The sequence below is a fragment of the Homo sapiens genome, chromosome 12, assembly GCF_000001405.40.
Source record: "Homo sapiens chromosome 12, GRCh38.p14 Primary Assembly".
NCBI lineage: Eukaryota > Metazoa > Chordata > Mammalia > Primates > Hominidae > Homo > Homo sapiens.
In genome coordinates this window covers 114,998,805-115,011,522 of record NC_000012.12, presented here as the reverse complement: position 1 = coordinate 115,011,522, position 12,718 = coordinate 114,998,805, and positions in this window count along the sequence as shown.

The following is a 12,718-nucleotide window of genomic DNA, read 5'->3' as shown; positions in this document are numbered from 1 at the left end:
CTGTGTTATACTGTAATGGTGGGTACATGTCATTATACATTTATTGAAACCTACAGTGAACTCTGATGTTCACTCTTGGTGTTGTACATTCTGTAGGTTTTGGAGTTGGAAGATAATGACGTGTCAATGTGGGTTCACCAGTGGCAGCAAAGGTAGCACTCTGGCGGTGGGAGGGGGTGTTGATGATGGAGGAGGCTGCGCACGTCGGGGCAGAGGGTGTATGGGATATTTCTCTGCCTTTTCCTCAATTTTCCTGGGAACCTAAAACTGCTTTAAAAATAAATACAGTCTTAAAAAATAAATGTAAGTTGAAACCTCATAATCAGAAGGTAGAAATAAATCCACACTAGTCTGGAATCACATTAATCATAATGGGATTAAACTCTTCAGTTAAAAGACAGAGAATTGGGAATGATTTTTTTTTAAATCAACCATGTGCTTTTCCTGAGGCATACATAAATTAATAGAAAGTTGAAAATTAAAGATTAAAAATTCTAAATAAATACGAATCAAAAGGAAGCTGGTTTTGTAATATGAATATCAGACAAAATAAAGTTTGTGGTAACCCAGCTTTCTGTGACATCAAACTATGGGCTCTCACTCTTGGCACACAGGGCCAGGCCTCTATGATCAGACATCCAGGGCATTGCAGGTGGGGTTGTGAACTCAGATTTCACAACCAGTTTTTCATGAGGCACCCATTAGGCAACCACTCTCTCTTACCCCTTGCCTTTTGGTTTCTCACCCTGCGCTATGAGACCTATTTTCTGGTAATGATGCATCACCGGAGAGGGAATACAAGTAAACCACCTTGTGAAATAGTGAGTCACAGAGGCAACAGAAAGAATCAGACACTAGGGAGAGAAATGGGGGAGAACGGGTTTGAGGGGTGCGGACCAGCTTCCCCCTAGAAGGCTGCTTTTCATTGCAGTGAAACACACCACGCTTTCTTATGTCTTCTCCTCCCATGATGTCATCTTATTTACTCAATCTGGAAATGTCCAGGTTACCACTGAGTATGGGTAGCAGTTTTCTGTTTCCTGTTTGTATTAAGAAGGCAAGAGCTGAGTTTCTTGGAAAACCTAAGTATGTGTGGGTTCTTATGATGGATTTAACCAAGAACCAAGTACTTGCCAAATATCAACCTTTTGCCCCTTGTACTCCTCATTGTGCTGAGGCAGAATAGAGCATTGAGAAGAGGATAGGATGGTGGGAGCAGAGGGAGAAGGCCATAAAATAGATAGCCGTCAATTGCTAATGCCTTTGGCCATGACTGCATCCCAGTAACACTACACAGCTTACAGTTTCTCAATGACTCGCTCTTCTGTGGCTTTGCACACGCGTCTCCCACTCCCTGAAATGTTTTCCTCGCCCCATGTCCCCCACTCCCTTTAGCTCTTTCTATTAACCGTTTTTCATGCCAGAAAGCCTTCCTATCCTGAGTATGAATTAAAAGCCCCTTCTCTCAGTGCTCTGTACTTATTTATGTTAAAATACTTATCACTCAACATTGTAATGACCCATGAACTTGTCTCTCCCTCTCCACTCCCTTTTCCCCAAAAGTTACAAAAATCTAAAAGGAAGAAAGAACATCTCTTCTTCCTTTTATCCCTCTGCTCTTCATCAGGCTAGGTACTCAGTTCGATAAGAGCCTGACATGTGAGGGGGATGAATGGTGGAAAGTCTCCAATCAAGGACCTTTGCTACCTTGAACTGCAGCATCAAGAACTACACCTTAACCCATCCACAGAGACTCTGAGCTTTCCACAAATTTGATTTTCAGAAACATGAAACAACAAAGTTAGAAAGCACCTTAAGAGAAGCTCTTTTCCCTCCGGTTTGTAAATGAATTCTAAATACCTTCACTTTACATCAACAGGGCAATCTCACTTGGTTCTTGTTTATATCTTACACTTTCTGATCAGCTTCATTTGAAGAAATGGCCCATGATTTTTTAAAAATAAAATTGTTAAGCCACCATCCATCTGCTCAAACCCTCATTTTACAGAATGGATCCCCAAGGCCCAGAGAGAAGGAAGGAACAAGTTCAGTGTTGCATCTTGCAGCTATATCTCATACCTGCATTTACCAGGTGTAAAATCTTGATCAACTGACTTAACCTCTTTATACCCCTTTATTTATCTGTAAAACGGGGGAAGAGTGAACCTATCTCATAAGGGGTTGTTGAGAGTTTCAATCAGGTAAGTTAAGCCATGTCAAGAATGTAGACATTCAGTGAATGTTACTGATGATGATGATGGTGGTGGTGGTGATGGTGACGGGTGTTGTTGTTATGCACTATTATTCTCTCTCCATCCAGTACTCTTTCTACTCTACACAGCTAGCTCTGAAACTTAATGTAACACGCCAGTGACCCAGCCAGAGTTTGAGGAAATGAAACACAAACCACCCAGCAGCCTCGTTCTTCAGCTGCAGTTACTCCATTAACAGCAGAACAATCTCATTCTGGATCTTCTCCATCTCCTGGCAGCCAAGCCTCAGACAAGGGGCTCTTAAAATACCAAATTTCTCTAGAAGGAAAGATGAGGAGGAAGTTCTCACCATCCAGTATTGAGGAACTGAACTCCCTTTTCTCAGCTTGGTTTTTCCTCCCTGCCTAGTGTCTTTCTCCTGAGCCTGACTTGTGGAGGCTCTCATTCTGTAATGAGGGGCTTGACTTGTGGAAGCTCTCATTCTGTAATGAGGGGCTGCTGTGTGGCATGAGAAGCCTCCAGTTTCCCTGCCCACCTGGAGAAAAAGGCGAGGCTGGGTTGGTTGCAAAGAGCCTGAAAAGTGCCTTGGTTCAAGGACTTATTCTCCCCAGCTTCTAGGGGTGTTGCCAGGTGAATGCTTTTAGCTCCCAGCCCTCTGTAGGTATTGCCCTCAGCTGAAAAGATCCCCCCTCACTCAATATCACATCTTCCTCCAAGGACAGCCCACATCCAAAGATTGGTGTGGCAAGAGAATTAAGGCATATCACCCTGTCCCCAGCTGAAGGGTCATCCCATTTTCAGAACCCCCGTGGGGTCAGTTGAACCTTTGCTGAGACTACATCACAGCTGAACTTTTCTTTCCACCCAATCCTCATTCTTTTCCTTCCCTTCTAGCTCCAATATATGCCCAGCATATTAATCCTCACCCAAGAACCTGGCTCCTAGAGAGTCTGCAACTGCCAAGACAGACAAAGTGAAAGGGGCCAATGTGAGCCCCTTGTCTGAAGCTTGGCTGCTCAGAGATGGAGAAAATCCAGAATGAGATAGTTTTGCTGTTAATGGGGTAATTGTAGTTGAAGAACAAGGCTGCTGGGTGGTTTGTGTCTCATTTCCTCAAAGTCTGGTTTAAGAGGTGTCATTTGGCCAGGTTAGCGGGACCCAGGCTTGAAACCCATTTTTCTGCCCAAGACTTAGGCCCTCTACCAGAACAACAGGCCCACCTAGACCACCTGGGTCCAGGTCTACCAAGGTAGTATCCACATCACAGCAGCACGTGGGGTGATTGCAGGTGGTAACATACAGGCATTTTTAAAATTCGTTTTCAGGCGCATCCAAAAAAAATCTACCACTAGAATGTTTAAATCCCCAAGGTAATAAATTTTTTATCTTTGGACAAGTCTACAAATGTAAGACGATGAACAAACTGAGTGTGTAACAGATTTGGTGGTTTGCTGATAAGAAGAATCTGGAAATGCCAGGAAAACACTGCTCTCATTTTGCAGATGGAGAAATAGGAGTACAGGGTCGGGAAGACATGACCCAAGTCTGGCAAGTTAGAGGCAAAACTGGGGCTAACAACCAGCTCTACGAACTGCGGTTTGGGTTTGGTCTCTCCCTGCCCTGACCTCTGTGTGACAAATCTTACTGACTGAGGAACCAGGCATCCTAGGAGGCATTGGATAGCCATGGCAGTACCTGAGATGCAGGAATTACTGTCCGAAAAGTACAAGCCTTAGCTCAGTGGTATCTGCCATCCACAGACTAATCTTCCCATAGATCCAGTGTTTGGCCCAGGTCTCCTTGACCTAACTCCCCAAGCCCATGCAAGAAAAGTCAGTAGGTTCACGCCTGTAATCCCAGCACTTTGGGAGGCTGAGGCGGGCAGATCATCTGAGGTCAGGAGTTCAAGACCAGCCTGGCCAACATGACAAAACCCCATCTGTACTAAAAATACACAGATTAGCCGGGTATGGTGGTGCTCATCTGCAGTCCCAGCTATTCAGGAGGCAGGAGAATCGCTTGAAGGTTGAAGTGAGCCGAGACCGTGCCACTGCACTCCAGCCTGGGTGACAGAGAGAGACACTCTCTCAAAAACAAACAAACAAAAAAAACAAAAAAACCACAACAACAACAAAAAATGAAACAAAAAAACACCACCTGGGTTCTGGGTTCAAATCCATATTTCACCACTTCACTAGCTGAGTGACTTGAGCAAGTCACATTTATTCTGAACCTCTTTTTTTTTTCTCATCTAAAATGGACATAAATGCCTACTTCATCAGGTTTTTGGTGAGATTTCAATGAAATAAAATATAAAACTCCCATAGCACAAAGTCTGGTACATTGTTGGCACTCAGTAATTGTGAGCTGTTAAAGATAGATGTGTATGAGGGATTTTCTTTTCCTGAGGGAGAATGTTTCAGTTAGCTATTGCTGTGTAACAGACCAACTCAAAACTTCACGGTTCAAAACAAAAATGATTTATCATTTTCCACAATCCTGTGGGTCAAGAATCCAGGCTAGGCATAGCTGGGTGGTTCTTTGGCCCCAGTTTAGGGGCATTGTTTGGGTTCACTTACTGCATTTAGCTGTTTGCTGGGCTGAGCTGGAAGGTCCACGTGGGCTTCCTCAGATGCAGGGAAGCTCAGTGTTTCTCCATGTGGTCTTTTGTCCTCCGTGGGATGTTTCATTATTCAGTAGTAATGTGAGCTTCTTTACAACCTGATGGCAGGCTTCCAAAGTGAAGGTTGCTATCACCACGCCTGTTAGAGCCTAGGCCAAGAACTGGCATAGCATCACTTCTGCTATAGCCTATTGGTCAAGGAAGTCACAAGCCCAGCTAGATTCAGAGTGAGGAGAAATAGATTCTACCTATCTTTGAGTGAAGCAGTAAATGTGATCCAGAGCTTTCCGGATTATCCAAGTGGTCCAAGCCACTGCCTCATGCACCCAGACTCCTTTTATACCATGCTCCCCCCCTCTCCCAGAGTCCTGTGAATTATATTGTCATGGCATACATCCTCCAAACTCTACTTGTTCTTAGCTACTGTCTTTCCCTCCCTTATCTTTGCCTGGCTAACTTGTCCTCATCATCCTTTGGTCCTAATCCAACCGTCACTGCCTCCAGGAAGCCTTATATTATCCCCCAGATTGGTGTGATACCCGTTATTTACTTCTCTAGCATCCTCTACCTTCTCTTCTTACTACTCATCACCCCTGTAAATAATTATAAATTCAGTGTCTGTTGCATTCTAAATATGGTCCCATGAGAGCAGGTCCCATGAGCTTTGTTCATCACCTCATCTACAGCTCCTGGTTCAGTGCCTGGTACCTAGTAAGCACTCAGGAACTGGCCATGGATGTCTTGAGCAGAAGTCTTGATGTTTGTACTCCAGACTCACATTGGCCCCTTTCACCTTGTCTGACCTTGAGGTTGCAGATTCTCTAGGAAACATTCTGGGGTAAAGATTAATGTGCAGGACATATATTCGAGCTAGAAGGGAGGGGAAAAAAATCAGGATTGGGTGGAAGGAGAAGTTGAGCTGTGATGCAGTCTCAGCAAAGGCCTCAACCGACCCCATGGGGGTTCTGAAAATGGGATGACCCTTCAGCTGGGGACAGGGTGATATGCCTTAATTCTCTTGCCACACCAATCTTTGGATGTGGGCTGACCTTGGAGGAAGATGGAATATTGAGTGAGAGGGATCTTTCCAGCTGAGGTCAATACCTACAGAGGGCTGGGAGCTAAAAGCATTCAGCTGGCAACACCCCTAGAAGCTGGGGAGAATAAGTCCTTCAGTCCTGAAATGGATCTGGGTAGCACATCATGCAATTATGACACTTAATGTTAACCTTTCAGTGCCATCTTTTTCAAGTCGATCAAATGGAGACTTTAAAAAGTCTCAAACCCCAAAGAAGGATCTCCAGTAAATCATGGATCTGGAAGTATTTGGAAAAGGAGGATGAGAAGAAGGAAGAACTCTGCCAATACCGTGAGTTGTCAAGAAAAGGGAGACTCTCTGGTTCCTGACCAAAGTTTGTCAATAGTAAAATGTATTTGACTCAAACACATCCACAGACTATTCCAATAGAAAGGCCTCAGGTAAGTTCTCAATACCACTAGCACCCAGTTCATCCCCTTGGAGAAAGACTCGGGTGATGCCCTAGCCAACCTTGAAGCCATCTTCTGTGGACCTTAAGAACATTCTCTTGTCTGCAGTGATTTCCTAAGGAGAAATTCCAACACGGAATTCTTTGACCACTGCATCCATGTTTACATGAACAGGCACTGTCTGGCCAGGGAGTGGTGACTTCTGCTCCAAACAAGAACACAAGGTCCTAGGGACGTGAGAAAAAGAATTCAAGTTGTGCAGAGGTTTACGTTAATGGAAAAGCCCCACTGTGTGGCCTCAGCAGTTCCTCCAGGTTCTTCACTGTCTGGAAAACCACAGCAGAGGAACTCAGACATATGATCTCAGACCTGCAAATTTTTGCCACCACTTCTGCTCCCAAGTAGAGGATATAACCAGGAAACTTTCTTTTATTTGCATATGTGTGTGGCATGCATCAGATCCTTTAAGGAGCCAAGACACAGGAGTGACATCATTCCCAGTAACCAAAATGCCAGTAACTGTTGGCATGGATGCAAGGACTACTCCCTGGGTTGTCTATCCTGGCAGCAGGAAGAGCAAACAATTCAGATTATAGGGCAGAGCCCGGGCAGCAGAGGCCAGTAATAGGAGGGAGAAAGAACCTCAGATGGCCTGAGAAGACAGCAGAATTCCCAAGCTAAGACTCTCATATATATTAGATTTTATCGATCACTTACTACGTATTAGGCACTGGGCAAGGCACTTTAAGTATTTCACCTTGTTTGCTCCTCAAGGTCATCTTGTTCCCATTTTACTGATAAGAGAGCTAAGGCCCAGAGAGGGGAAGTGACTTCCCCAGTGGGGAATTTGCGTCCAAATTTCCAAAGCATAGGCTCTTAAACATTGGTTGCATTGTGTAGCCTGGCCAATTTGCTTAAACTGAAGGAGTGTTAAAATGAATTCAGCCAAATCTTACATCTAAGTGAGTGGCTGGGTTAAATAATCATAAAATTATGCCGTGGACAATGCAATGCAGTTCTAGATGTTTCCTGCTCTTTCTGCACTTCCTTTCTTCTATCTCTTGCTGTGTCCCTCTGTTTCTTTCTCCCTTCTTTCTCTCTCCATTTATTGAGCTCTGATATTATGTCAAACACTGCACATATACAGAAACGTGTACCATTAGTTCTGTCCTCTGTGTGTCTTCTAGGAGATTCAATCTCCTGGGGAAACCAGAAACGAAAGCAAATTATTTCAATGCAGTGGGATATGGGATGGTGCAGAAATTCAAAGAGCGGCCCCCAGGAACACAGAGAGATGACTTAGATGCCTGGAAAGGCTTTAATAAGGAGACGCCATTTGAACTTAGACTTGTTGGGTAAACAGGGAGCCCCCTGGGCAAAGAAGAGGGAGAAAGATAAAGCTGGAGGAAGTCACCTAGTGCAAGGCTATGGAGAAGGAATGAGTTTGGCAGGCTGGGGAGACCCTGGGATTGGGTGGAGGCCCAGGAGGAGAGTGGAGGATAGCCAGGCTCCAGAGAAAACTCATATGGTTTATGACGGGCCTTAAATGCCATGCTAAAGTGGCCAGACTTGACCACACAGGCACTGGGGAGCCCCACCAGATATTTAAGTGGGGTGAAGACAAGATGGGTTTTGTATTTTAGAAAGATCATGAGGCAGGTGTGTGCAAGATGGACAGAGGATAGAAAAGAGTGCTGGAGAAACTGAAGATGGGAATCAATCGGAGATTGCTCAAATATCGCAGCCGAATGGATGAGGGTCTTCTGGTCACCACTTCTTCTGGGGTGTCTGATTTCCCTGACAAACTCTTTATCCCACTGCCTCAGGGATGCCACGTTTTACCCTCTGCAAGCATCTTTCTCTGTATGGGACGATACAGAGAGGGCAATGCCTATCTGAAAAAGAGCAATCAAATGGTGGACTTTCAGGCTGACCAGACTATAAAGAGATATTCCAAAGGTCTTTTCACACTTCCAGAGCGCACCACTTATTCTAACTTGACTATTGCCAGGCTGATGTCTTTATATTTCATTTTATTTCCATAAAGCCTTCACCTGGATACAACAGACTTTGGGCTGAGATTGGGGCCTGCCTCTAATCCTGCTGAACAGGCCCATGGCTGTTTTTCCCCCAACATCCTAGAGCAGAGAAGAAAGGGTCTGGCAATGGCTACTCTCTCCCAGCCTGAAATAAAAGACAATTTGGCTGGTGTTTGGAGCTCTCAATTTCTCCAGCCACCCTCTCCAGCAATGCCCCAGTCTCCATTAATACTATTACTTCAGATGACATTTCCTCTGACTGTCGTCGTCTCTTTTTTTTCCTCCTCCTTAATTCCCTAATTTGTCCTAATATGCCCATTGCCTGTGTATCAAGTCATCCGTGAAGCCGCCCCATTTCCAGGTTTCTTCCTCCCCATCAGCCGAGTCTCTGTCTCCCACAGAAATTAGAGGGAGGCGGCTGCAAGCCCGCAAGGGCAGGAAATAGAATTAGGGGACGTATTAATTGGGACATCAAGTCGGATTTCATTCCAGGCACTTCCTTCCGTTAACCACTTTGAAGCTTCCCCTCTGTGGCTCTGTTTCTCATTAGAGGGAGCTCTTAATGGTGAGTGGTGTTTACGCATGGTGCAAACATGTCATGCCCTAGCCTTCGGACTGGCAGACCCAGCTGATTGGTGAGGGCAAGGGGAGGAAAAGGCCAGCCAATGGGGTCAGGGTGGCAAAGGTGGAGGTGGTGCTTGAGAAAGGACATCGGGGAGAAAAGAAACCACAGAGGTGTGTGTTTTAGGCGGATGAGAGGGATTCCACGAGGGTCCCATTATGTTAAACTTCCCCTTCCCTGCAGTTTCCAGGCTCTGCAAATGTATTCATAAAACAAGCTCCTTTCTTCTTCTTCTTGTTATAATTGTGCTTTTCCCAGCCAGTCATGAGGTTTCTGGCTGCTGGGTTTCACAGATGCCTTGGCCAACACCTTGCAAACTGGCTGAAGTGCCCTGTCTGACACGGAGAAAGGTGCCAGGACACCTTGTCCCTCCTAACTCTCAGTTTTGTCAGCATTTCCATTTAGGGACACCCACTGCCCTCCTTGGCTCTCTACCTGACCCACCCGCCCCATCCACCCCACGTCTTTGAGGTCCTGTCTTGCAAAGGCTTGCACCTTTGTGGGATCCCCACTCAGAGGCGTCTGTGCCAACACTAATTCACGGCTGTGAGAAGAACCCATTTGCGGAAGAGTATTGGTTTTTCCACCAAGGCAGCCAAAACCACCAGCCTCCCTTGCTGGGGAAGAGAAGAGAGAGGAAGAGAAGAAGCATTTGTTTCCCATGATCTGTAGTGGTAGCCCCACAAAACAAACACTTCCGGGAGACTCTAATCAGGTTTTACTGAAGCTCAACTGTGGGTGTGTTTTGTCCTAATCCCCGAGACAAGGAACCCCAGAAAGGAAACTCCTGTTGCTCTGAGGTGGAGGTCAGGCCCTTCTGCCGCCCCTTCAGCTCTGACAGCCAATGCAAACACCACAGCCCTGCCCTGGACACCCTTCAGTCCTCTTGAGCAACCAGAAGCCAAGAAAAAGCAACAGAAGTCCATGCGAAAAGTGGAGAAGAAAAACCTCAGCCTTGAGTGGCAACCAAATCAAATAGCAGCGCCTCATCAGCCAGTTCACAGACTTGAGGGCAAAGGGGTTTCATTTTTTCTTTCTCCTCCCCCCTTCGGCTTTCTTCTCCTCCTTCTTCTTTTTTTATACTTAAAAAGAAAAAAAAATACTCATTACAACCTAGGACCTTAAGAAGTAGGAAGGGAACTGGAAGTATTAGCAAGGCTGCTTGAGAGTTCCAGTCTTTGCCTTTGAATGGACAAAGACCATGAAGGCTACAATGTCTCATCTCTGGGCACATATGTTAAGAGTGTTTGGGGGGTCAGGTGCAGTGGTTCACGCCTATAATACCAGCACTTTGGGAGGCTGAGATGGAACACTTGAGACCGGGAGTTAAGAGACCAGCCCGGCCAACATGGTAAACCCCGTCTCTGCTAAAACTACAACAATTAGCTGGGTGTGGTGGCACATGCCTGTAAACTCACCTACTTGGGTGGTTGAGGCAGGAGAATCACTTGAACCTGGGAGGCAGAGGTTGCAGTGAGCTGAGAACGTGCCACTGCACTCCAGCCTGGGCAACAGAGTGAGACCCTGACTCAAAAAAAAAAGAGTGTTTGTAATGACATAAATCAATGTATGCTAACTTCAGGGAAAATGTTGAAGAAATTATAAAGATTTGGGGTTATATCTGGGAACTAGAAGAATCTCAGGTATCTAGACATTTCTCTATCTCCCTTTCTCTCCCTCTCCCCCCACCCTTTTTTTTTTTTTTTTTTTTTTTTGAGACGGAATCTCACTCTGTCACCTAGTCTGGAGTGCAGTGGCGCGATCTTGGCTCACTGCAACCTCCGCCTCCCAGGTTTAAGCGGGCATGCACCACCACACCTCACTAATTTTTGTATTTTTAGTAGAGACCAGGTTTTACCATGTTTACCAGGCTGGTCTTGAACTCCTGATCTGAGGTGATTCACCCACCTCAGCCTCCCAAAGTGCTGGGATTACAGACATTAGCAACAGGGTGCGGCCCATTTCTCTTTCCTGATTCAATCTTTCTCTCTCTCTCTCTCTTTCTCTCTCCCTCTCTCCCTCCCTCCCTCCCTCTCTCTTTCTCTCTCCCTCTTTTCTATTATTTTATTCTTCTTCCTCATGGCAGATTATCTTTTCCTTCTTCCTTATCTCATTGGCAAGCGAAAGATGGCTTCCTGTAGTAGTCACATGAGCATATTACTGTCCCTGCAACACAGAATCTTCATCTAAGCTTCAGTTCTGTCTTCTTGGGGAAGATATTTTTTATTTGTCCCCTGGGGCTAGATGCCATTTCTGGTCAAACAATTGTGGCCGGAAGAAATGAGTCACCTTGGACAAAGGCAGGTGCAGAGAAACCTCCCCTGCGAATTGTGGGAAGAAAAGCAAGGGCACCATTATCTGCTGACAGACACCCTGCAATTCTCTAGCACATTCCAGTCGCAGTGACTTCATGTTTCTTTCATCCTGGGAACTACTTTCATTCATTTATTTTATCTGTTAACTTCTTTATTCATCAAATATTTGTTGAATATCTGTCACCCTTTGGTCTTATTTATCTTTTTCCATTTACATAATGACTATTCATTTAATAAATATGCCTATCATGTGCCTGAGGTTATTATAATATACAAGATATGCTAGTAAGTAACCAGTTATATGTAACTTTCTTCTAGCAAAGCAATTCTAATCATTGCATCAAAAAAGAAATTTACTTTTATGAGCAGTTCTCAAACTACAAAGCAACTTTTGTACGCTCTCAATCCAAAATGACTTGGCCAGGGAAGAAGAAACACTTTTTCTGTTTAATCTGCCTCCTTACAAAACCCAACTGGAAGATTTCTGTGCTGTAAACTGACAGGGTCAGCAGGGTGGTGAGGGGAAGAGTCCGTCCTACTCTGGAGTTGAAGAATGTTAGATCAAGTCTATTCATCAGGCTAATGACAAAACCATTAGCCAACAAGAAGACAGACACATCTCTGCCAGACACATGAGACTTGCAGCAACTAATAAGCAGAATCCCCACGGAAATGAATTAGGGGTCAAAGTAGAATCATTTCATAGCCTGTTCTTGTGGGAGCGAAAAATGGGTGTGATGTGCTTGTCTCCTGGTTTTTTTAAATATTTCAAGGAACTGACCTGTAAAATGCCACTGGAATGACATATCTAGCAGATGTTCCTCAAACATGAATTATCTAGAACCCTGATGTATTTCTACCCTGACAGACCTGCCAATGCAGAAAGACAGATTGACACTTTTTTCTTCTGCAAACAAGAGGAGTGAAAAGACAGATCTTCCAGAATATTATGACTACCCTGGGGTCCCCAGGCGGCAATTCATCCAGCAAATGTTTGTGGGGCACCTACTGCATGCCAGGCACCTTTCGAGGCACATGCTGCTAGAACCAAGGAACTACAGAATTAGGACTTGGCCATTTATGTTTGGTTGCAGAGTCCATAAGTCCTCCCTACAATAAAACATCCAGAGGAAACTGACAGAGGAGCAAAATTCATCCCAAAACTGTGCACATTAAAGGGGGAAAAGAATTCCACAGAACGATGAGATTTTCAGCTGAGCTGTAGGAAAACAGACTTCCTCTCTTCCTCTCTAAAGAGCCTATTTTTTTTCCATAAACCTAAAGCCATGGCAAAGGGACAGCAAGACTCAGCCAGGATGGCAGCAGACTCATTGGTTGCTGCCCCTTTGAGGAACTTTTCTACTTTAACTCTTCCCTGCCTCTGCCGTTCAGCATCAAAATGTTATTCTCTTTTTCAG